This window comes from Homo sapiens, chromosome 2 (assembly GCF_000001405.40).
Source record: "Homo sapiens chromosome 2, GRCh38.p14 Primary Assembly".
In the NCBI taxonomy this organism is placed as follows: domain Eukaryota; kingdom Metazoa; phylum Chordata; class Mammalia; order Primates; family Hominidae; genus Homo; species Homo sapiens.
Genome location: NC_000002.12, coordinates 206679308 through 206706578, shown reverse-complemented (window position 1 = coordinate 206706578; position 27271 = coordinate 206679308). Strand labels below are relative to the sequence as shown.

Below are 27271 nucleotides of genomic sequence, written 5' to 3'. Positions count from 1 at the left end.
GCCTGCCTCCCAGAGGCAAGCACTGTTTTAACCACTGGGCAAATTCCTTACAGTTATTTTCTCTTCTAGTTTTTTTTTTTTTTAATTTTTTTTAACTGCCCAAACAATATATACATACATTCTCAAGTTATTTTTTCATTTCAGCTTCCTTAAACATTAAGCTTTTGACTGTCATTTCTATTATCTGTGCCTGTCTCTAACAATTCCCCTGCCTTCGATAAATTGTTCAGTACGTTTGTAAACTAGACAGCAAGTGGGCAAGGATGATTAGGCTCTGAGTGAGGGCCTGTGAACTAGATTTTTTTTTTCTTTGCATAAATATTTGTTCCTGTGCCTGCCTTTTGGTCCTTCCTTATCTCTGTTGCTTGGTTTCCAGGCAACTGAGGCCCGAGGAAGTGATGCTACCTGCTCCATGAAAACAGGGTTTATCCCTGCATCCCTGATGCCTGGTACAGTGCTTAGCACAGAGGAGGCATCCAATACATATTTTGGAGTGAATGCAGGAACAAATAAATGACTGGTGAAATATGTTAATTCAATGCTCTGTTCTGCTAAATTCTAGGTATAGGATAAGAGGCCACAAAAAGTTGGAACTTATAGCACCATATCAGAAATGCCCATTAATAGTTATGGTTTTTATCATCCATTACACCAAAGGTAACCCTGGCCTTCCCATTCTTGTCTCTGTATTTTGTTACTGTGCAGCAAAGGAACAGGTTTTCTCCAGCTTATGCCTGCGGCCGCTGCCCTAATAACCCTCTCAGGAGACAGCCCTCTTTCAAAATACCGAGGTAACATGCAGAGGACTGCGGGTGTCCTAAAGTGCAGTGAGCCCCAAATCCCCAACCTGTTATCCTATATCCCTGCCACAAGGCCTCTTCAGCATGTACTCAGCATGACTTATGTGTTTATTAAATAAAAATATTTACTATTTGAGGACTTTGGAATTTTTCAAAATTTACACTTCCTAATTACTTGTTTCTTGGTTGTTCTTGATATTTATTTGTTTAGGGATTACCTAGACACCCGTAATTATTATTGGTTTGAAGCCTGGGAGGATCCTCACATTTCTGTTTACCAACCTCATGATCTTCTTCCTAGATGTACTGAATGATCAAGGTGTTGAAATGTGAATGGGTTTCCGTTAGTTATCAAATTACGGTTATTACAAAAATCATAGTGACCGGACGTGGTGGCTCATGCCTGTAATCCCAGCACTTTGGGAGGTCGAGGCGGGCGGATCACCTGAGGTTGGGAGTTCGAGACCAGCCTGACAAACATGGAGAAACCCTGTCTCTACTAAAAATACAAAAAATTAGCCGGGTGTGGTGGCACACGCCTGTAATCCCAGCTACTCTGAAGGCTGAGGCAAGAGAATCGCTTGAATCCGGGAGGTGGAGGTTGCAGTGAGCCAAGATTGTGCCATTGCACTCTAACCTGGGGAACAGGAACAAAACCTCATTTAAAAACAAAATAGTTTTGGAGGCCTTCATAATAGCTAGCCAATAATCAAGAACATAACTTTCCCTTCTCTTTCCTTTCATAGCCACAAAGAGACTGTTACTTCAAAGCAAGTACTCTTCAAAGATACATTGCAAGTATTCAATTTAAAGATTGTTCCTCCTACATGTCTAGCTCTTTTTCAACTCTATGCAGAAAATAGCAGGGGAGGCTATGATTCTGGGCCACGCATGACTCGAAGGGTTTTGAGAAAACTACTAACAGATCTACAGCAGGTAAATTCCTAATACTTAAGAACTGTACATTTGTTTCAGTTAATTTGCCACATTTATTATTAAAGAATCTGATGTCTCCAGTGTCAAGTCTATCTTTATATATAACTCCATGCAAGCTCTCTCCTCCATAGCCATTGCTGTTACTTGAATATAACTTAACTTATACTCATAAGGTTATGAGTAGAAGGTTATGAATTATACTCATACTCATGAGGCTAAAGATAATGTTGTCTATAGATAAGAATTATTTGCATTGCTGTAAGTTTGCTACAAGTTAACTTTACTCTCTCTAGAGTTGTAAAATAGCTTAGCAAAGACAATGATGTATCTGTCTATAGGTACAGATAATCACCACTGAAAACATATCCAATAGTCTCTTTTGCTTATTCCAAAGTATTTAATTTTTCCTTACACCCCATACCTTTTTCACTCCTACATATTAAAATTTGTGCCTGACATGCACCAAGTTCTCCATGCCTGACTTCTGCATTTCTATCTACCCACAAGGCCATTGCCTATCCTTTCACTTAACAAACTACTCCTCTTTCAATATCTCTCAATCATTTGTCACCTCCTTGCTCAAAGCTTCTTTGACTTCCTATGCATAACTTTGTTGCGGCACTTGTCAAATTATGGTAGATGATGCTTCCCCACTGGACTGTTTCATTTTTATATCTCCAGTGACTTGAACAGTGCCTGATACTAAAAGACATCAAAAAAATGCTTAAAGAATGCATAGATGGAGTGCCATGTCGAGTACTCAAAATTATTTCCATCATTTCCTGTGGTTTAAGAATGTGTACATTTGATTTGGTTTTTATTCTTACTAGGCAAGGGAATTTAACCTCCTTAAAGATGTTTTTTAAATGTTAAAATGATGTAAATTGATGTAACCAAGCAAGAAGTTCTGCAAAAGGATTAAACAGGCTCTGGATTGTCTTGCGTGTGGGTGCTGTTGTCCTGTTGTACCCTTACCCTTGTTTTGAAGGATGTCTCCATTCTTCCAGCTCCTACAAAATCCCCATGCTAGATATTCTGGACTGTAATGACTTAGGAACTTTCTGTCACTTTTCTCTTGGTTCTGGACCAAGGATTCTGAACTGAGGATAGCCATGCATGATGGGAGCAAGGGCGGGATAAGGAGGAAGATAATAAAAATCTCTAGGACAGGGAGTATGGATTGGAAAAACCTATTCAGAATTATCTTTGCTTTGATTTGGTTTCAATATTAATATTTTGTGTTCATGATGATGACAATAATTAATATTTAACTTAAATTCCAAACATCATTTATATATTTCTTAAATGGAGCAATGATTTTTTTTTTATTTATAAGGTTAGAATATCAGGCATAGATACTTCTGAGCTGCACTGGTAGTTGCAGCAGCCACATAGATCCCACCATCAAACGTTCTACTGACTCTAAGGCATTTCTCAGGGAGTCATCATAAGTTGCAGGCTCACTTCCACCCATCTCATATCACAAGACTCGAGCAGGTGGGGGCCTGGGAAGGCTGGACAGTCTGTCCGCCCATTTGTGCAATCAGACTGGTGAGACTGGAGTGCTTAGAAGCGGATGTGATGAAAGGGGATGAGCTGAGGGACATTTTCCTTCTAGAGAACTCTTTGTGCTCTCCTGACTACTTGGTCCAACAGGCTCTAAAAATCTGCCCTTGTTTCAGGTTCAAATGAGGTCAATGAGCTGCTGAACTAGAAGCTCCCTCAGCACTCCGCCCCTACCCGCACCCCAGGCATCAGTATGCTCCTGAGAAGGTCTTAGGAAGCTGGAGATTTGCATAGAAATTATCATCCCATTGACTGCTATTACAGACTCAGAAATGGATTCTCAGAGAAAATTCCAGGCCCCACTACATGATTCAAATCCCCCCCTAAACATCATAATTATCGTTTCAAGTGGTGTCTGCCTGTGCCGGTGTGCCATCTAGCCATGTTTAATTCTTCCTAGAACACCTGCAAGAAATTAGTCACTTGGGCCATTCATCCGCAAAATCTTTATGCACATCTTTATAGGCAAAAATGTAGGTTGAAAACCCACTACAGAAGTGAATTTTCTTTGTACTAGTGTTAGAATCACAGAGCTGGTGAGAGTCATCCTATGTTATCCACCCACCTTATTTTACAAATGAAGTAAAACTCCTTTCCCAGGGCTCAAGGACATCAGAGGAGGGTGAATGTTGGATCAACAACACAGTCTAAATAAGTGGTCCAGTTAGTTCATCAGCACTCACAAGCCAAACGATGGGTAATGAGTTATGCTTTCAGACAAAGGCTAAATAACATAGGGAGTAGTTACTTACATTCGACTGGCAACAGGATTATTATCAATTTAAAGTACAAGCCATCTTGTCACTATTACACAAATGTTTGTTGACTTCTGCCTGGCTAATTGTCAGCAAAGAGGTTCTGAGTGCCACTTTCCTGATTAGAAGAACGTTTATTCGAGTTGATGGACTCAGCAGGAGGGTCTCTGAGATTACTTCTGAGCTTGCAGGCAATGCCTGCTGACAGCCTGTGCTGTAGAAGACATCAGATGTGAAATTAGGACCCGTGACCAAATGGGAATAAATGGAGGTGACAGGTACATGTATCTGTGCATATAGATGATGTCAGAGCCAAGTCCCTGGCCATCTTGGCAGTCACAAAAGGTTCTTAGTGCCTTAATTGAACGCCTTATGGTGACTGTGGCTGAAAGTTGGAAACCACTGAGTGTGGTGGCACAGATTGAGCCGTTGAAATATATGTAAGGTCGGGCTGTGATAAAGCTTCATGGAAACTCCTCAAGAAAGAGTAAGAGTCCTGGAGTGAGACCCCAATTCTGCTGCTAACTTGCTTTTTTGACCTTGAGCAAAATATCAAATCTCAATTACTCTTGGCTTTATTTTTTGAAAACTATTAATTGATAATCAGAAACTGTATATATTCAAGGTGTACGACATGATGTTTTGAGATAGATATACACTGCATAAAGATTAACACAATCAAATTAATTAACCCATCTGTCACCACCATCATTGCCATCTCATGGTGTTGGGGGGTTTGAGGATACTTCAAACCTGCTCTTGTTTCAATTCTCAAGTAAACAATACAGTAGTATTACTAGTAGCCATGCTGCAATTAGATTCCCAGAATTTATAAATCTTATAACTGAAAGTTTCTACCCTTTAATCAACATCTTCTCATTTATCCCTGTCCTCAGCCCCTGGCATCCACTATTCTTCTGTTTCTATGAATTCAATGTTTTTAGATTCCACATGTAAGTGCGATTATGTGGTATTTGTCTTTCTGTGCCTGGCTTATTTCATTTAGCATATTGTCCTCTAGGTTCATTCATGTTGTCACAAATGACAGGATTCCCTTCTTTCCTAAGGCTGAGTACTATTCTGTTGTATATTACATACCACATTTTTTATTCATCTGTCAATGGACACTTAGATCGTTCCAGAAACTTGGCTATTATGAAGAGTGCTACAGTGAACATGGGAGTGCCGATGTCTCTTTGACAAACTGATTTCCTTTCCTTTCATCCCTTGCTTGTTTAAACAAGGGTAGTAATTACCATCCTACCTCAGAAATTGGCATTTCTTAAAATGATGTGATATGAAAGTGTTTGGAAAGGTTTTTCTCAAAGCCACTCTAGGCTTGTCCAAAGGTAGTGAGTTATCTCAGTAGATTGTTTAGTCAGTTACAGATTGAATACAGATTGAACTTCTTGATCTACTCTTTCCTGCTTCTCACTACTGCACTTGAATAGTCTTAAAAATATGTATATATACAATAGCAAGGACTTGGAACAAACCCAAATGCCCATCAGTGATAGACTAGATAAAGAAAATGTGGCACATATACACCATGGAATACTATGCAGCCATAAAAAACAATGAGTTCATGTCCTTTGCAGGTACATGGATGAAGCTGGAAACCATCATTCTCAGCAAACTAACACAGTAACAGAAAACCAAACACTGCATGTTCTCACTCATAAGTGGTAGTTGAACAATGAGAACACATGGACGCAGGGAGGGGAACATCATACACTGGGTCCTGTCAGAGGGTGGGGTAAAGGGAAGGGAGAGCATTAGGACAAATACCTAATGCACGCAGGGCTTAAAACCTAGATGAGAGGTTGGTAAGTGCAGCAAACCACCATGGCACATGTATATCTATGTAACAAACCTGCACGTTCTGCACATGTATCCCAGAACTTAAAGTAAAAAAAAAAAGTATATATATTTTAAAACTCTAAACTTTAAGACAGTATTATTGTGATCTTCATTTCATAGGTGAACAAAGGCAAAGAAAGGATAAAATAATTTGGAATCACAAGAAAATAAAACAGAAGGAAGCAGTTTATCACCTCATTGGCAGACTTCCTTCCCTTCCCCTCCTCCCTCCTCTCCTTCCCACTTGCTTATTCATTGTCTTAACCCAAACATTGCACAAAACCCACGCATTTCTTTGTTCTCTTGGATTGAGACAGTTCACCTCGTCTCAGATACCAAATACTTGTGACTACACAGCCGTGGGCACCAGCTCTCAGCCCTGCTGCTCCCGGAGACGACATATTTCTCCACTTTCTAACAGCTAAGATGAGGTTGTCTCTTGCAGATCCCAACTTTCGTGGGAGAGAGTCGTGCTCTGTGCCCTGTGGAAAGTGCCACCCGCAGCTGTTTCCAAGGGGTGAGTGCCTTGCAAATGTCCCTGGAGTTGGGGACAGACACGGTGTATTGGGATAGTTTGCTGACTGATTTACATTACAGACCTATTATTACTCCACATAGCATCTCAGATAACTGAATTTAGGAGGTAGTCTCACCTCCAGCTTTTCCTATGATAAACTTCTTCAGCAGAACTGACAGAATTAGAGTCAGAAAAGAAAATGAAAATATCAAGTCGTGCCTAAAAACACATCTTAGAGTGCCATTGTTTTTCAGGTGTTGAGCCCAGCAATCAAAGAAGAAAAATTCCTGTCTTGGGTCCAATCTGAGCCTCCCATCCTCCTGTGGCTCCCGACCTGCCACCGGTTATCAGCTGCTGAAAGGGTCACTCACCCTGCTCGGTGCACTCTCTGCAGGACTTTCCCAATCACGGGACTCAGGTACAGTCATCAGCAGCATTTCTTGGATTATCATTCTCCATATGGTTCTACAGTTGGAGCTGCATCCCTTCAGATTCTTTTTGGGGTCCTCCTTACACATCTGAAATTCAGTTGACTTTTTTGGCTCAATGATTTCCTGGCAAGAGGCATCCTGGTTGATAATAAATTGTCTTTTATCTTCTATAATGGATGAAATATTAAATTCTTCCACTGACGCATAATGTGACTAATAGACATTTTTCTTCCTCTAAGGGGAATACATTTTGTCTTTGTTTTGTTTTGCTTTATTTTGTTTTTAGAGACAGGGTCTCTGTCACCCAGGCTGGAGTGCACTGGCACTATCATAGCTCACTGCAGCTTCAAACCCCTAAGCTGAAGTCATCCTTGCAGCTCAGCCTCCTGGGTAGCTGGGGGTACAGGCACATGCCACCATGCCCAGCTAATTTTCTATTTTTTGTAGAGATGGGATCTTATTGTGTTGCCCACACTGGTCTCCAACTCCTGATCTTAAGTGAACCTCCTGCCTCAGCCTCCCAAAGCATTGAGTTACATGTGTGAGCCACTGCATTTGGCCTGTCTTTTGCTCCAAAGAAACCTTTTAAATTTTGGAGCCATGCATCATCATCATCATCCTAACAACACTACTTTTGTTAAGTGTTAGACAAATGCCAAGCTGAGCAGTTCACATGGGTCATTTCATTTAAAATGTGTTGTAAGCCTATACAAAGGGTTGTATTCTTATCCCCTATTTACAGAGAAGTTAAATAACCTACATGATTAGCAAGCCGCAGAGGCTGGCATCCTAAATCCGGAGTCCCTGCTTTGCAGCCATGATGCTCCGCTGCCTCCCTGTGCAGACAACTGCAAACAAGGCACAGACTCACAGAGATCATCAGCATTCATGAGAACAACTCAGGCTTGATCTTCTCTCCACCTGGAGCAAAAAGCAGATTTGAGAGCTAGATTTGGAGGTGGGAGATTCAAATATTTCCATAGCTTTGAGGCTAACAGTCAAAATCCCATCTTAGAGAAAGAGTGTTATAGGTCTCCCATAAATAAAACCATAGGGAAGTAAAATTGGAGTTATCATTAAAGCTTGGGAGAAGAGAAAGAAACCACCAGGTGTAGGCCAGGCATGGAAGAAGCCATTATTCACGATGAGTGAACAGGGGCTGGGGATGTGGGAAGACTAAAGCTCTGGGACATCAGGTAGCTAAATACAAGGCAAAACTGAGGGTTCCCGGAAGGAGAAGGGGACAAGAGGCCTCAGGACTCAGCTCCTGCTCACTTTGTTCCCCTTCCCTTCCCATGCTTCCTGACCCTAGCTAACCCAGAACTGAAATTGCTCCCCATGGAGGTAAAATAGGTCTGCTTGGTACACCGAAAAACTGGAGATCCGGTTTTAATTTTGCTGAGAAAATGAATTGGGTTTGCAGAGAATTTGCAGGACACAGTGAAACTTCATTCATGAAAATTCGGCAAGGAACTGAACTTTAAACAATAAAACATATAAATGAACAGGACTGTTGGAAACCAAGCAAGCAGGAACAAAGAAATCCTCATACAACAAAGAAAAATAAATTATTTATATTGGACAATGGGGAAATCTGAATATGATTTGCCATGTTATGAGTACATTATAATCATTTAACCAATAAGCAAGTATTAGTTAAGGAGTTACTGCAAGTCCTGCCCTAGGTCGAGTACAGGATTAACTTTGTAATTATATAAAACACAACTTTTACATTGAAATATGTTTTCAAAATTATTATGTATAACATAAAGCAGATACTATTTCTATTCTATAGATGACAAAAATTGAGTCTCAAAGAGTTTGAGTGACTTACTTAAGTCGCCCCTAAAAATGGCAAAGGCAGAGGCCGAGAAATGCTACCCTTCAAATATCTGTTGAGAATGAGAACAGAATTTCTTTAAAATGCCCCCATGTAAACCATCTTTCCCCTTATGCATCCAAGGCAATAAACAGGTGTCCTATATACAAAGAGCTAGGAGACCTGGGCAAGGTGTTTAACCTCTCTAGACCTCAGTTTGGGGTTTTTGTTTTTTGGTTTGTTTTGTTTTTAGTAAAATTCAGCAGGGTAGATCAAATGATGTCTGAGACTTCTTTAGCTCTAAACTTAGGATTCTATTAAAAATTGCCTGGATATATTATAATCCTAACTTTAAACTTATGTTTTGGGATCTCAAAAAACTCAACCAGTAGCTTTGGTTTTTTGGGAGATGAAGAAAGCCATGTTAGAGGGCATGCATTTGCAGATCTGCAGGTAGCAGGAAGAGGACAAAGATTTGGCCTTCTAAAGAAAGAGAAGGTGCAAAGACCATAGAGTGGCCTTAATCCAAGAAAAAAATTCTAGAAGGACATGTCAGCATTTTTGCTCTGTGATAGCCATGGAAGGTTGAAATGAAATTGGGAGAAAACCTGGGTTCTATACTGGTAAAAAACATCAACAACAGGCCAATCTCATTACCCACACAATAACCATTCTCATATACCTGTAGGTAGTTTCAGAGCACAGAGGAACAAATTTAAGGATAGAGCAGCATATTATCCTAAATAAGTTAATCACAGCCATCCAGTTAATGCTTGATAAAGCAGCCAGCATGGATGACTCATCAAATAATCCTTATAAAAATAGTTTATTATGTTGTACACTTCATTGAAAAAGTAAATGTCTTCCCATTTATGTATGTTGAACAACTTTTAAAGTTTTCTAAAAATTTTGCAAGGCCAGGAGGATAGGGTTTACTAGCTCCATTTTTCCTTAGTTGAAGAAACTAAGTCATTTATCCAACTTCATTCAACTAATGTTCATTGAAAAACCTACCATGTACCAGGCATTCTCCTAAACTTAAGTGAGCTTAAGTTTTCAATTCAACTATTAGTACTACTATAAGTAGTAATGGTGGTATGTGAATTCAAACTCAAGCCTCCTGCCTTGAGGAGTGGTGGTCTATTCTAGGATAGTGTGGTCTATTCTAGTGGTTAAAATGGCAGGCCATCAGTTCAGATAGTAACCTGGGACTCAAAATCTTCTACTACTTACTAAGTAGTTGTGTAACTTTGTGCAAGTTACTTAAACTCTCTTTAATTCAGTTTCCTCATCTGCAAAATGAGGGTAATCGTATGAATACCTGAAAGAATTTCCATGGGGATTAACTGGGTCAACACATGTACACTGCCTGCACATAGAACATGCACAAAAATGCTAGCTGCTATTATATCATCCCACATTATTTATTAATATCCTGCCATGGGAGTCAGGGTTGGAAGTACAGCAGTAAACAAGGGTAGCTGAGGGGCGATCTCAAGGTATTTACATTCTCCTGCTCCTCCTCTAAACGACTTTGATCAGACCATCAGACCTTCTGCCATCTGGCCTCAGAAGCTTTCCAAGGTGTTTTCCCGCTGTTATTCAGGGCAGTTAGCAGGTCTGATAGATTTTATGTCCTCTAAACCCTTCTTACTCATCCCAATCTTCGTTACCTTATTCCTTCTCTTCTTTCTACTTGGGATTTTCTTTGCTTTAATCTCCAGCCCAGCCTTCCATGTATAGCATGAGCCTCACTTTCCAGACCACACCAGCCCATAGGGCTCTCCCTCTGCCTCCCTGCTATACCCCTCTTCTCCATGCCTTTCACTTGGCACTTAATCACACATCACCTAATTCTGGAAGTTATTACTTCAACCTTCCATGTCAAAGTTTTGCCGCAAGATATGAAATTTAAGAGCACTGGAATCTTATCATATTTCTTTTTTGTAACCTTAAGAGAGGTGTTGAAAACCCAAATGCTTAAAAGGCAAGGCAAGTGGTATACGTGAAGGAAATAGGACAGGTAGGGACTATAGCTAGCTCAGAACTGTATGTCCAGTCTAAAAGGAGTAGCTGCTGCCTGGTTCTCACCAACTGTCACCATATGAGGACAGAGTTTTATACCACACACACTGCAGTTAGAGAAGAGAATTTACATATCAGGGGAAAAATGTATAGCTCCCTGTTATTTTATAGACAAACAACATGGTCCCACTCAAATATCCTTAAAAGTTACTAACTGATGACTGCTAGGTCTTACTAGCTCCCCACTAACATCACAATAGTTTCCTGAGTATTATGGGACACCCCTCCTAACCAGAGTGTCTCAAGACTCTCTCCGCTCCTTCTGACCACAAAGGGATTTAAGGCTGTCATTTCTCAAAAAGAAAAATTCTCCAATGTTGATGGGTCAAGAAACTTGGCTGTGGTGAGGAATTCCCCTCCTCTACTTTATATCTTTCCTACATACAGACTTCTATAAAATGACGAGTGCTTATTTTTAAATTTGTTATTTATGGCTTAATTTTCCCCAACACCACTCAGGAATACAGGCCCAATATTATCATACCCTGCAAAAGTTTAAGACAAGCCAAAATTTGATTTTATTGAAATCTATTTTTAAATTAGCTATTAAATTCAAAGAATTTGAGTGCATTGTGCAGCTGCACAAAACGCAGCTGCAGATTTAAGGGTTTATCCTAAAGGTTGTAGCACACAGCACCCTGCATATAGAAGGCACTTCGTATTTTGGGAAATAAATCAGACTTCTATACCATAGCGTATATGGCATTAATATAATGCCATTTGAAAATACTATCATATGAAGATGTATTTGAGTAAACAAACGCATTAGAGTCATTTAATAATCCTATAGTTTGGGAGAAACTTTACACTGATTTGGCAGCTCAGACATCTTCTGTATATTTTGGGTTGCTCATTCTCTACCTGGATATTCTTTTTTTTTTTTTTTTCTCATCTACTAGTGACGTAAGCTGTGCTTCTATTTTAACTGGCAGATACCGCTGTCTGAAGTGTCTCAACTTTGACATCTGCCAGATGTGTTTCTTATCTGGTCTTCACAGCAAGTCCCATCAGAAGTCTCATCCTGTCATTGAGCACTGCATTCAGGTAACATTTAATGTCACATACCAAACTATTCATTAATCAATTCAGTATAAGCTATAGCCATGAAAAAACCTTCCCTCCAGTGAAACCACAGATTCTGCTCCTGTCATACATTGCAATATTTAAGACTAAGCAAGTGGCAAACTCCACCTTGAATATCTCCCAACGTAAGTATGATTTCTTCACATTGTATGTCTCAGTGGAAGTTTTTGGCCACAAGAACAGGCCAGAGTTCAGTCTGAAGTGATTGATCAGATACTCTGGAATAGAAAATGTCAGTGAAGAGTTACAGGGAGCAGCACTGGAAATGGGTACAGATGGAAAAGAGAAGGGCTCTGATATGGCAAAAATGATGCAGCAAGACTTCTAGTTACTAACATATTTTTGGAGAATTTTTCTTTTTTAACATGTCTTTTCCTGAACCCTAAATTTCAAATATTTCTTCTTTAGGAAAAAAGAAAGATTATTATCTCAATGTTGACTGAAAAAGTATACAACTAAAACTTCACAGCTGCCTTTCAAATTTTTTAAAATTATAAATACCTAGCAAGTGAATTCAGTTCTTTGTAAGAAGAGAAACAGCATAGTACATTTTAGAAAAAAGCATTCTATTTTTTCCCAGAAAGAACATTTTCTTTTCATTACTAAATTCCAGTGAGTAAGTTTCTTCACACAGATGGCAACCTCCTCAAATACCACAATAGCGAAGGATGTTGACTAATTAACTTTGCCAAGGATAGTTTTCCCTCCTTCTCTCCTTTACATGAATGGCCTGCAAAAGTCAAGTGCCTGAATCTTGCCAAATAATTTCCAGTGGGCATTGCCTTACCCAGGTCCTCAGGTTCACAGGCCTAGGATCTACCTTCCTAGTGCTAAAAGTCTTGGATTTGTTGATGTTAGAGTGACACCATGTGGCCACTTTGTTATTACGCTTTAAATTTCAAGTGCTGAAACCCTTGAAATGAGACATCTCATTCCTTCTTTGCATTTGGTAGAAGTTCTTAACTTGGGGTGAAATAAATGGATTTCGGGTGAGCCTGTGAGTCCACTGAAATTGTATGCAGAATGGAATGTGTGAGTATTTCGCTGGAAATAAATCCATGAGTTATCATCCAATTCTCAAAGGCATCCACAACCCTAAATGTGAGCAACCACAGGCTTAGTCCTCTTTGATGCCCTCCTCTAGGTGTAGAATGCCAAATGACGGGGTTACTCTAAGGAAGAGGACTTATTGAGGGGGTTTGGGGTGTTTAATTTGGAGACTTATGCTATTTCTATGAGAATGTGAAGAAATTCAGGGACAAGAAGGAGGTAAGATTATTTTTCTGAGGACTTAAGAGAAATAATTCCAAAAACTTTCATGGTGGCCAGTCCATCCAAGTAAGGAAGGAAGACCACACGTAGACTGATCTGACGCTTTTTAAAAATGTTGGCCCTTTCAGCAGATGTCAGCAATGCAGAATACAAAACTTCTCTTCAGGACCCTCAGAAACAACCTTCTTCAGGGGCGCTGTAGGAAGAAAGAAGCAGCGAGAAGGCAGCAGCTGCTGGACCAGGTGAATCCAAAGGGTGTGCCTCACCATGCGCAGGCCAGGTGAGTGGCTGCGAGGATTGGCTGATCCCACAGAGCAGCCACCAAGGGCCCTGGGTGTTATGGTAACCGGCCAGCAATCTTTCTAATGCTGAAGATCCTAGACAAGGCAGGAGGAGGGGTGAGGGTTGGACTTCAGATATTTTTTTCCTCTAAAAAGGGCCTTTAATTTCAAAGTAGAACTAAGAGGCCACAACACCTTTTGGTGACCCATCCAGATGTTTAGAGTTATTTCTACAAATGAAACCATCAGAAAGACAAAGAAGATTTTTAATATTAGAATATTTGAATAACTTTGTTATATTCCTAGTTTTTGCTGGTTTGCTTTTGGAAGGCTAATTCAGAATTAATACTTTATTTAAAAAAAAAAAAGGAAAAGAAAGACACTCAGCATACCACCACTCACAGATGAGTGCTGTTCACATTTTAGTGTGAAACAGAGATTAACCAAAACAGGGATTATGCTATAGATACAATTTTTCATTCTTAGTTCCCAAAACATCATTTTTAATGGCCTTACTCTCTTCCTTATAAGAAAATGCCACAATTCACAAGCAATACATTATTGAACATTTGGCTATTTCCAAATGTTGCCCCCCAAAATTCTAGAGTCAACATCTCTATGCATGCATTTATCTAAATATTTTTATGTTTTTATTAAGGGAAAACTCATTCAATGAAAATCATTGAATAAAAAATTGCGAACTTGGTTAATCCTCGAAATTCAGAATGCCAAATTGTGCTCCAGAGGGGCACAGCCTGCCACTTCCAGTATATGCATCACATACCTGATCACCAACCTAAAGATGACCTTTAAAAGGTTTTTGTGACCTTCATTTTTGAAGTAGCCACTTCTTTGTAATTTAAAATAGCAGAAGATAAAGGAGAGAAACACTTTTTTTTTTTTTTTTTAGAGACAAGATCTCACTCTGTCGCCCAGGTTGGAGTGCAGTGGCACAATCATAGCTGACTGCAACCTTGGATTTTGGGACTTAAGCGATTCTCCCACCTCAGCCTCCCAGGCACATACCACCATGCTCGCTGAATTTTTATATTTGTGTTTTATAGAGATGGGGGTCTCACTATGTTACTCACAGGGGTTCTTAAACTCCTGGCCTCAAGTGACTTTCCCACCTCGGCCTCCCAAAGTGTTGAGATTACAGGCACGAGCCACCATGCCCAGCCTCATCACTTTTGAGAAAAAGAAATATTTATTCACTTCCATTTTGCCTACTAGGACTATAAGAATAGATTAGTTTAAATCAGATTGGTATTCATTTGTTAATTTCTTTTATAATTCTCTAATCTTTTCTCAGACATCCAGCAGCAAATCTCCATCTCAATCCCAGACCCCTATTTCTGTGGTCATTTTGTTGCTTTAAAGTTTGTTGTATTTTAAAATATGTTTTTATGGCTCTTTAAAGGATAAAGTACACAATGACCTCACAATTAGATGCTATCTATTATTCCTATGTCACATTTACCTATCAGGTTGTTAATCAATATATGATTAAAGTTAGATAATTTGGATATCATCTTGATGTATATCTTTAATATTGCACATAGAATTTAAATTTAAAAATAAAAACAAAGATATCAGTTTCCAGTTTATCTTTATTCTTAAAGCCAGCTATTTTTACCTTTCACTAGGAAAGTAATGATAAAATGTTAATCATCTATATATATATTGGATACTTGAGATCTTGCCCAAATTTCTATATTCCCATAGTCACATCACAAAGATCCATATATATATTTTTTTTTTAAGATGGAGTCTTGCTGTGATGCTCAGGTTGGAGTGTAGTGGCACCATCTCGGCTCGCTGCGACCTCTGCCTTCTAGGTTCAAGCAATTCTCCCGCCTCAGCCTCCTGAGCAGCTGGGATTACAGGCACCTGCCACCACAACTGACTAATTTTTGTATTTTTAGTAGAGACGGGGTTTCACCATATTGGCCAGGCTGGTCTTGATCTCCTGACCTCAAGTGATCCGCCCATCTTGGCCTCCCAAAGTGCTGGGATTACAGGTGTGAGCCACCGTGCCCGGCCTCCATACTCTTATTTGCATTTCTTTTGGCTACTGAAGTCAGACTGATCTTTTACACATTTTTGACACAAATGTGACAGCACTTCTCACCCACTCATCCCTTCCAAATCCTTATGCCTTCCTTAAATCAAATTCCTCCATCGTTTTCCCATCGTTTTTAGGCTAAAAATGAAAAGTTGTAACGTGACTTAGTCTTGGTCCTTTTGGTCCACCATCTTAATCTCTCCAGCTTCATTCCTCCTCCACAGTCTCTGTGTTCCAGCCCTGATTCTGCCTCACATATGACTAAGCCAGATCTATCCCACCCTTAAGACTTTATTTTAAAGGATTTGTCATAGTTTGTAACTACACATTTATTTATCTAACTATCTGATTAATGTCTGCCTTCTCATTTGGCTAAAAGCTCCATCAAGGAATCTGATTTCACTCCCTCTTGCAACTCCAACACCTGGCTCATAAAGTCATACAAACAATTCAATCCATCAGCAAATCTTGTTGGTTGTACCTTCAAAATAGATTTGAACTCCGAGTGAGTCTCATTATTTCTACTGCCACCACCTCAGCGGTCCCTTTCTCCCACATTGTCACATGACCTCCTAACTGGTTCCCCTGCTTCCTCCTCGGTCTCCCCATGGTCCACTCCTGGTGCCACAGGCCCTTTTCAGATTTTGGCCAGATCATGTCACTCCTCTGCACAAACTTTTTTGTGGCCTTCCCTCTTCCAAGAAAGTCACAGTCCTTCCAGTGGCCTTTAGCCTGGCCCTATAAACCCTGTTCCCCACCAGCTCTTGGTCCTCCACTGCACCTCTCCCTGACTTGTTCTGCTTCAGCCTCACAGCTCTCCTTGCTGCTCCATGAATACACCAGGCATGCTGCCACCTCGGGGGACTGGCAACCCTAGATCACCTCCCTGCGTGGCTTGACTGCTCACTTCCCAAAGACCTGCCGAGGTCTTTGCTCAAATGTAGGCTCATCCTGAAGGCCTTTCCTGACAACCATTTACCATTCAACCACTTTCCTCACTCTGGCACTCCCAGTTATCCTTGCTGGCTCTATTTTTCTTCAGAGCACTTAATCACCCTCTGACATCCTATATCTTACTTATTTATTATTTATTGCTGTGCCCCTCTCTATAATGTAAGCTCTATGAGGGGAGGAATGTCCATTGTTTCCAGTTGTATTGCCAGAATCTATAATAATGTCTGAATATGATAAATCCTCAATAAATATTTGTTGAATGACTGACTGACTGAATGAATGAATGAATAATAAAATGTATAGCGCATGATGGAGGGATTGATGGATGGATAGATAAGGTGAACCATGAGCTCTTTTAGAATGTAGCTGGAAAGAATCAAGGAGCTTTGGAACAAGATAATGAGGTTTGACTGAATCTGGAACAGAGACAGAAGCTTTGCCCTCAACTAACCACGTGTGTGGCCATGAGGAAGTCACTTCACTTTTCTAGGACTCAGTTTCTTTACCTGTTAATTGGGATAACCTCTCCTCTCTACTCCCAGAGTAGTATTTCTGGAGGTGAGATGAGGAAAGGGAATTACAAGGGCTGTACAAAGCCAGGGTTCTCTAAACGTCAATGAGTTGTACTCTGTCCACCCCAAGTACAGTAGAGTTGTTCCCCAAAATAACATTCTTATGTAATAATTTTCAGTGTACCCTAGACTTTGATGAGTTCAGAAATTCTGATTTGTGGCTCATCTAGGAGAAAAGAATGTGGAATATTACTAAATCACAATGTAATAATAGTAAAAAACACATCTTTGATATCTATTATGTTGGCACACTAGCACTGACCATCTTCTAAGAGATTAATGGTTATGGCCAAGTGATAATATTGAATTCGTTCAATGATTCAGCAAACTATCTGCATGGTAATAAGCCTTCTCCCTTTTGATGTGGTTTTATTTCCTTTACACATGATAGTTTGCACTGAGAATACTTTCATTTACAAAACCAGAACTGAAAGTTAGGTGCCAAATATCATCACTCTTATTAAATATTTCAGGAAGTTCTTGAAAACATAGTTAAAAAGAAAATTAAACTGCAGAAAAATAACAGACAGAATTACTTCTCTTTGTAGCTAATTTAATTGTGAATTACTAAGAAACCCCAAGTAACTAGCAAAAATTACTAGAATTAATAGGCTTCAAATGATGGTGGAAAAATAAAATAAACATATACAAAATTCTTCACTCTACTAGCAATAACCAGCTATAAATTTTGTAAGAATCTCATTCAAAATACATGTAAAAATTATTTTTAAAAGAAACTACAAAAAAGTTTAACAAAAAAGATACAAGACCCAAATAAAATTATAATATTTTATTGAGTACAGAAAACAAGTCCTGAACAAAAGGAAAAAATGCCAAATTTCTAAATGAGAAGACTAGCATAAGAATGTACCTGCTCCAAAAATTAATAGCTGATTTTTGTTATTTGCAGATTCAATACTTACAAATTTGCCTACTTGCAAAAATTTATTTGTAACCCTAAAATTAACACTCCTGGTGCTTTTTCAGTATTTGCAGACATAAGCAGAGTGGCAAAAAAATTTTGAGTTGCCTGATGCACGTGTTCCCAGCTGAGGTCAAACCAGATAGTGCTCTGTGTTACTGTTTCAGCCCTCATTCTATAAGCAAGTGTCCTTTTCGTGTCTATTTTGTGTCTTGTTTTTTTATATTTGTGCTTTTTGTTGGTGATTTTACTTTGGCAAATGGCCCCAAAGCACGGTACTGAATTGCTGTCTAGTGTTCCCAAGCACAGCAAGGCTACGATGTGCCTTAATGAAAAAATACACACGTTAAATAAGCTTCATTCAGGTATGATTTATATTGCTGTTGACCATGAGTTTAATGCTAATGAATCAACAATATATATTTAAAAAGCATCTTTATACAGAAACACATAAAACAAGGTTGTGCATTGATTGGTTGACAAAAATATTGTGGCCAGAGGCTTGCAGGAACCTAACCCTGTATTTTCTCTAGGAACAATGGGTTCAGTATTTCCTAATTCACTGTTCATGGTAGCCTTATAGAGCATAATCTACTGTATTTAAATTTAATGCATTTCCAGATAGAATCACAAGGTTTTCTAAATAGGATAAAATAATTTTGAAGGTATGTTGGAAGAATAGTTGTACAAGAATAGTAAAATTATGAGACTGAAGAATAGTGAGAGACATTAATATCTGAAGAACAGATGTTAATACAACAGATATTAACACTTACTATAAAACTACTATGACCAAATAATATAGTATAAAACGGGAATGAACATGTAGGTCTAAGGATGAGAATACAAAATATAATAATTGATCTAAGCATATATGGGAACCTAATATATGATAAAGGTGATATTTCAATTCATGGAAAAATAATGCATAATTGGCTATCCATCTGAAAGGAAAATTGGCCCTTATTTTGCCCCATATACTAAAACAAATTCCAAATTGATTGAAATTTAAATGTAAAAAGAATTTAAAATAAATATTAGAAAAAAGAACATCTCCTAAGGAAGAAAGAAAAACAAAAAATCATGAAGGAATAGACAGATATATATGATAGCATGTAATTTTAAACATTTTGTTATGGTAAATGATAGTATAAACAAAATTAAAAATAAGCCCTAGACTTAGAAAAATATTTTCGGTAATAAGATAAATGATGCTATTAAAAGGGTCCCTGAAAAATTGATAAGAAAAACTTGATGTGAGGTCAGAAGTGTTGGCTGCTGTGGAGAATTCAAAACAGGGACCTCCCTGGACATCAAGATGGAAGAGCAAATAGTTTCTCATGCTGGAGAAATGCTCTCCAGTGTGGTGGTCGTATCTTGTAAGGATTCAGTCCCACATCAAGTAGTGTCTTTGACAATGGAAGGAATTGCAATCCCCCAGCTCAGTGCCAAAAGTGTGGGCAGTTTTGAAGCTTTTTATAATTCCATTAAACCTATCCAGATTATCAACAGTGCCATAGAAAGGATGAAGCCAGGGAAATTTCCCTATGGCAAAACAAATTTATTTCGCATTTCTTCTGTATGTGAGGGGTAACAAAGTTCTGTATGAGACTTATTATCAGACATTCAGTATACACTACGCTGTGACATGAGGCAGTCTCTGTTGACCAAGGACTTGACAAAGGCCGGTGAATTTACCATCCACTCTGCTCCTCAGGAGGGGAAGTTGACTCCAAGTCCTGTGGACTTCACAGATTATACCTGCAACCTTACAGAATATCAAAGAGAGAGCCTTGCTCCCCAGATTTCTCATTCGAGAACACCCCAACTCAATGAATTGTGTCATCGTGCAGCTGCTTACAGGAGAGCTGGTGGTGAAAAGGCATGGGGCTGCAACTGGTGCACATGGAGACCTGTGGGTGTGCAAAAAGCTATGCCAATGATGCCACAGAGTTTCCTTATATTCAGATGCCCATGGGGACATTTGTAGGGGCCTCTCTGTCCCTATATACATGGTCTTCTCCAGGCTGTTTACCTGCCGCATGCTGAAGACCAACTTCAAAGTGGAATTTGAGGCCACCATCGACATGCGTCTTCATGCTAACCACCTGGTCACAGAGAACTTCCTATTGCAGCTCTGCAGGACTCAGCCCAGGAGGAGGGAAGCACAGAAAACAGGGGTGGCCTTGTGGATATCCTGCTGGTTATCGTTCATGGGGAACTAAAGCCAGCAGTATATACTTGTTTTTGTGATTATTCTGTATCAGAAATGAAATGGACTCCTTAAATTACAATTATTTTTCCTCCTCATTTCTTCGAGGCTTCTACTTCCAAAAGTCACCTTTAATCATATCTTTTCTTTGAAATTCAACAGAATTTCTTAATGCTGTTTGCAAGATCATTTCACAGAAAACGTTTCCTGTGACTTACCTGTTCTTGTACCAAAAAAGGCACAGAAAACCTGTTGTGACAGCCATTGGAGCTGTGCTGGAAAGTAAGATCATGGGGGCAAAAGGAAACTTCTCTCTGACTCGCTAATAATGAAAGTAGCTGAGCACTCCCCACAGCAAAGGGTCTGTGGCCAGGTGGCATTGCTTATGAAGTTTGTAGATACCCTCCAAGGAAGAATGCAAAGTGGCATCCACTGGAAATGTGTAGCTTTTTTTTTTTTTTTCCGCACTCTATTTCTGTAGTTCTTTTTATAACATTTTTCAATATAACTTCAACATTTTTAGGGAACTGAGAAAAAAGCGTCCCTTGCTCTTATAGGAGTAAGGGGATTTGGCTGGTGCTGGAGTGTTTCTGAACTCTCAAGAACTGTCATAAGAACTCATGCTGCCATATTCCGGGAATATATTTAAATGCAAAGTTATGTAAGGGGAAAAAATGAATGTTTGCTCCTTTTGTTATAGGGAGGGTTCTGAATGGCAGGAGCCCCGTGCCCAGGGTGGGTGGGTGAAGGCTCCTCTCCCCAGGGTGGTGCCAGGAAAATGTCCTTGACTTGATGAACTTGGCCTGCCCCTCACCCACCTGAGGGACCTGTTTTATCCAGGGTTTTTTGACCTGAAGCCAGTGTTTCCTCAGTCTCCCTTTGTGGTTCAAAGTCAATGATGAGTCTGTTGCAAAACATTTCTTCCTTCAAACCCTATCATTGTTTTCTTGGTCCACAATTAACAGGTTCTCAAAAATAAGCTATGTGACCAGGTAAAGTGGCTCATGCCCATAATCCCAGCACTTTGGGAGGCAGAAATGGGAGGATCGCTTGACCCCAGGAGTTCGAGACCAGCCTGGGCAACATAGAGAGATTCCGTCTCTACAGAAAAAATTAAAAATTATCTGGGCGTGGTGGTGCACGCCTGTGGTTCCCGCTATTCAGGTGGCTGAGATGGGAGGATCGCTTGAGCCTGGTAGGTCGAGGCTACAGTGAGCAGTGATTGCGCTGCTGCACTCACTCCAGCCTGGGTGAAAATGTTTCAAAATAATAAATAAATAAATAAATAAATAAATAAATAAATAAGCCATGCTACTTTGCACACTAATTGCCCTTCTTTCATAGTTGCCCTTCTGTGCAGGCCTGGGCAAGGCAGGCTCAGGCTGAAGGCCTCCCAGGCTGTACTTCCATTGTCCTGTAACAGTGTTTGGTGATCTGTAATGCTCCCTACATTACATGCCTTCAATGCTGAGGGTAAACAAACCTGATTTAGGCACTGCTTTATCTTAGGACTTCACCAATTAAACTGATAAAACTTATTATCTGAGTCATTTGTAAGTTGCTTCTTAGAAAATACATTTCTGGTTTATAAATCTTTTATGCTCATATGACATTAATAACTACCTGTATTTGATGATGAGTAGCAGAAAATAAAGAGGCTATACTTTCTAAGAAAAAAAACTCAAGAAGAAGAAGAAAATGGGGAAGAAGAGGTGGGTGAAGAGGAAAATACACAAAATATGTAAATAGGCAATCACAGAAGAAGAGTTGCAAATGGCCCTTAGACACCCAAAAAGATGCTCAACCTCTCTATTGGTTAGAAAAAAGGCAAATAGGCCAGGCTTATGCCTGTGATCCCAGAACTTTGGGAGGCTGAAGGTTCTGCCTCTCAAAGTGAAGGAGGATCACTTGAGGCCAGGAATTTGATACCAGCATGGGCAACATAGGGAGACCCCATCTCTACAAATAATTTTAAAATTAGCTGGGTGTGGTGGTGTGCACCTGTGGCCTCAGCTACTTGGGAGGCTGAGGTAGGAGGATCGCTGGAGTCCAGGGGGTCAATGCTGCAGTGAGCCATGATAGTGCCACTGCACTCCAGCCTGGGTGACAGAGCAAGACCCTGTCTCAAAGAGAAAAAAAGAAAAAAGAAAAATGTAACAATGACATATCATCATTTTACTTATTGAAAAGACAAAGATTAAAATGAATGGCAACATCCTTTGCTGGTGAGGAGGGAAGAACATAGATGCTCTTGAAATCTGGTAGAAGTACAAATGGCTACAGAATTTTCAGAAAATACACTGAAAAATATTTATTCAATAAGTTTATTGAATGTTGTTCTAGGAACTTGGGCTACATCAATGAAGAAAAAGAGACAAGGATTTCTGCTCTCGGTGAGCTTGCATCCTAGTGAGGACCAGACAAATGGAAATGGTATATAAAGGAATTATATCATATGTTAAAATATTTAAGTATTAAAGTTTAAAAAAAGGAGAGGCAGGTAAGAAAAATAAAGACTTGGAGAGATGGCAGCAAATTTAAGTATGGTGGTTATAGCGGACCTCAGTGAGAGGTGACATTTGATCAAAGTTTTGAAGGAAGTGAGGGAGTAAGTCATGCAGACATCTGAGAAAAGGACACTGCAAACTGAGGAGACAGCCAGCACCAAGTGGGGGCATGCTTGGTATTAGGTTGGTGCAAAAGTAATTGCGGTTTTTGCCATTAATTTTAATGGATTCAAAGAACAGCAAGGGGGCTAGCATGATTGAGTGGGATGAGGAAGGAGAGTAATAAGAGAAGAAATAAGGCAGGGCGCGGTGGCTCATGCCTGTAATCCCAGAACTTCAGGAGGCCAAGGTGGGCAAATCACATGGGGCCAGGAGTTGGATACCAGCATGGCCAACATGGTAAAACCCTGTCTCTACTAACAATACAAAAATTAGCCAGGCATGGTGGCATGTACCAGTAATCCCAGCTACTTGGGAGGCTGAGGCAGGAGAATCACTTGAACCCGGGAGGCAGAGGTTGCAGTGAGCCAAGAGAGAGCCACTGCACTCCAGCCTGGGTGACAGAGTGAGACTCCATCTCAAAAAAAAAAAAAAAAAAAAAAGAAAAAGTAAAAAGAAGAGGTGAGGAAGTGGGGGCAGATGGAAGGCCAATGTAAGGACCTGGGCTTTTACTCTGGGGAAACATTGGAGGATTGTTAGTAGAGAATTTAACTGAGGTTTCAAAACTCTCAGTCTGGTTGCTATGTTGAGAATAGACTAAAGAGAGCCAAGAGTTAGAAGCAAGGTTATATAAACATTTTCCTAAATTTTTTCCAATATTTCTATTACAAATTTTAACTTAAAATTTCAATCTGTTTGGAATTTATTTTAGCAAGGGTCTAGCTTTACTTTTTTTCCTGGTGTAGGGGATTATGTGATCTTTTAGCCAATTATGTGATCTTTTTCCCACTTAATTAAAATGCCAGCTTTCTCACATATTAGCTTTCCTTGTATACTTGGGCTAATAGAACTTATATTCTCATCCTTAGATCTATGTGTCTATTCCTGCATTTGCACTAAATTATACTGTCATGGTGGTTCTATAGTAAGTAGAAGAATAAGATTGCCATCAACCGAGATGGGGAGGCTACAGGTAGAGAAGGTTTGTGGAGGAAATCAGGAGTCTAGTTTGGGACACATTAAAATTGAGAAGTCTCTGAGATGTCCACAGGGAGATATTGACCAAGCAGTTGACTATTCATAGCTGGAACTTGGAAAAAAGGGTCTGTACTGGAGATACAAATTTGGGGGTTGTTGGCATGTTAATGGTTGTTAAAGCCATGAGGTTATATGAGATCATCAAAGAGAGAGTGTAGAGGGGAAAGAGAAGAGGATCAAAGACTGAGCCCTGTGACACTCCATTTACAAAGCTGCAGAAAAGAAGAAAAACCAGAAAGGGAGACTGAGAAAGAGGAAAGAATGGAGAGGGAAGAAAACCAAGAAAGTGAGGAATCCTGGAAGACAGGTGAAGAAAGTGTTCAAGGACACAGCATGGTGTTCTACTGTCAAATGCTGCTGCTAGGTCAAATAACAATTGACCTTTTACCCTTGAAAAGTCAATGAATCCAGGAGCTGGATTAATTTGAAAAAAATTAACAAAATAGATAGACCACTGGCTAGACTAATACAGAAGAAAAGAAAGAAGAATCAAAAGACACAACAAAAGATGAGAAAGGGAATACACTATTGACCCTACAGAAATACAATCTACCATCAGAGAATACTGTAAACACCTCTAGGCAAATAAACTAGAAAATCTAGAAAAAAATGGAAAAATTCCTAGACACACACACCCTTCCCAAGACTAAACCAGGAAGAAGTCGAAACCCTAAATAGACCAATAACAAGTTCTGAAATTGAGGCAGTAAGTAATGGCCTACCAACCAAAAAAAGTCCAGGACCAGACAGATTCACAGCCGAATTCTACCAGAGGTACAAAGAGGAGCTGGTACCATTCCTTCTGAAACTATTCCAAACTATTGAAAAGCAGGGACTCCTCCTTAACTTATTTTATGAGGCCAGCATCATCCTGATACCAAAACCTGGCAGAGACATAACAAAAAAAGAAAACTTCAGGCCAGTATCCCTGATGAACATTGATGCAAAAATCCTCAATAAAATACTGGCAAATTGAATCCAGCAGCACATCGAAAATCTTATCCACCACAATCAAGTTGGTTTCATCCCTGGGATGCAAGGCTGGTTCAACATACACAAAGCAATAAACATAATCCATCACATAAACAGAGCCACTGACAAAAACCACATGATCATCTCAACAGATGCAGAAAAGGCCTTCAATAAAATTCAACATCCCTTCATGTTAAAAAAACTCTCGATAAACTAGGTATTGATGGAACGTATCTCAAAATAATAAGAGCTATTTATGACAAACCCACAGACAATATCATACTGAATGGGCAAAAGCTGGAAGCATTCCCTTTGAAAACTGGCACAAGACAAGGATGCCCTCTCTTATCACTCCTATTCAACATAGTATTAGAAGTTCTGGCCAGCTCAATCAGGCAAGAGAAAGAAATAAAGGATATTCAAATAGGAAGACAGGAAGTCAAATTGTCTCTGTCTGCAGATGACATGATTCTTTATTTAGAAAGCCCCATTGTCTCAGCCCAAAATCTCCTTAAGCTGATAAGCAACCTCAGCAAAGTCTCATGATGCAAAATCAATGTGCAAAAATCACAAGTATTCCTATACAACAACAATAGACAAGCAGAGAGCCAAATCATGAATGAACTTCCATTCACAATTACTACAAAGAGAATAAAATACCTAGGAATACAGCTAACAAGGGATGTGAAGGACCTCTTCAAGGAGAACTACAAACCACTGCTCAAGGAAATAAGAGAGGACACAAATGGTAGAATATTCCATCCTCATGAATAGAAGAACCAATATCGTGAAAATAGCCATACTGTCCAAAGTATAGATTCAAAGCTATTTCCATCAAACTACCATTGACATTCTTCACATAATTAGAAAAAACTATTTTAAATTTCATATGGAACCAAAAAAGAGCCTGTATACCCATTTGTTTGAGGGAATGAATTCATAGAAAAACTGATGAACTGGTGCAACAGGGGAGAATTATTGGAGCAATGTCATTCAGCAAAGAGGGGGTGGGATACATGTAGAAGGATTCACTTTAGAATAGGGTATTTATTAGTCATTAAAATATACACAAGATTTGGCCCTTGGAGTACAGGACAATAAGCCAGAAACAACCTAAGTGCCCCTTCGTAGAAAAGTGGTGGAATATGTAGGATTACGAACATTCTGCAGAACATAATGAATCTACTTAAAAGAACAAGTTTTAGCTGCTATCTACTATACTGGAAGGAATTCACCATCATGCATCAGAGAAAAAAGCAAGTAGCAGAATAATGTGTCTGGAATGATTTCCTTGTTTTTTAAAAAAACATTTAAAATACATATTGATGTTTGTAAATATCTGAGTACAGAAAATGATGTGTATATGATATGGTTGTCTCCCCACCCAAATCCCATCCTGAATTGTAGCTCCCATAATCCCCATGTGTTGTGGGAGGGACCTGGTGGGAGGTAATTGAATCATGGGGGCAGGTTTTTCCCATGCTCTTCTCATAATAGTGAGTAAGTCTCATAAGATCTGATGGTTTTATAAAGGGCAGTTTCCCTGCACACACTCTCTTGCCTGCTGCCATGTAAGACGTGCTTTTGTTCCTCTGTTGCTTTCTGCCATGATTATGAGGCCTCCCCAGCCATGTGGAACTGTGAGTCCATTAAACTTCTTTTTCTTTATAAATTACCCCATCTCGGGTATTTCTTCACAGCAGTATGAAAATTGACTAACACAGTGTATGACCGACCACGCTGGCACTCTGATCTCAGACTTTCAGCCTCTAGAACTGTGAGAAAATAAATGCCAGTTGCTTACACCACCCAGTCTGTTTGTTATAGCATCCTGAGCAAATGAAGACAGAGCAGAACAATACCAAGATATGAAAATGATCTCAGATGGGGTAGGAATCGAGTTTGTCATTCAGAAGGTTTGTTACAAAGAAACTGTGGGTCACCCTATTCTTCTACCCCAAAATGCACACCCCTGGTATAATTAAGTATATCACAGAATAATCGTGTCTTTCCTTATGTTCTCATTGTGTCTTGTAGAAAGCATAATGTTATGTGTAAAATGATTCTATATTTATCTGTTCTTTAGATGTGAATTATCTGGAATCAGGAGTTCTCTGCTTTTTTGTTTTATATCTGCCATAACTTGAGATGATGTTTAAAAATAGTTTTTAAATAAAGGAATGAAACCAAATGGAATTGTATAACAGAATATACCTGACCTTAAACTAGTCTGATATATTATATGTTCTTTCAGATTTGACGTGATAAACACATACCTGCATTTATAACTCCTAATGTCTGACCTGGACAAGATGACCTGGGGGATTTTCTGCTGTCACCCCTGAATTCTTTGCATTCTCATGTCTAGATTGTCAAGGAGAAGGGAAAATTGAATTTTTATTTCTATTATTGGCTACTTGACTCTGTCAACAAAATTGTCTGGAAAAGAACACAGAGAGAAAAGT

General features: G+C 39.4%; 1 protein-coding gene and 1 pseudogene across 1 annotated transcript in view; both read left to right on the top strand.

Annotated features, from left to right (window-relative positions):
• The window catches only part of DYTN (dystrotelin), a 66776-nt gene that overhangs the window by 11818 nt on the left and 27687 nt on the right, over nucleotides 1–27271 (top strand). The window contains exons 4-9 of the mRNA NM_001093730.1: nucleotides 706–791; nucleotides 1636–1736; nucleotides 6363–6434; nucleotides 6689–6852; nucleotides 11702–11813; nucleotides 13256–13404. Coding sequence (NP_001087199.1) covers nucleotides 706–791; nucleotides 1636–1736; nucleotides 6363–6434; nucleotides 6689–6852; nucleotides 11702–11813; nucleotides 13256–13404 — 684 coding nt within the window. The remainder of the gene's footprint in view (nucleotides 1–705; nucleotides 792–1635; nucleotides 1737–6362; nucleotides 6435–6688; nucleotides 6853–11701; nucleotides 11814–13255; nucleotides 13405–27271) is intronic.
• On the top strand, nucleotides 19216–20062 carry VPS26CP1 (VPS26C pseudogene 1; annotated as a pseudogene).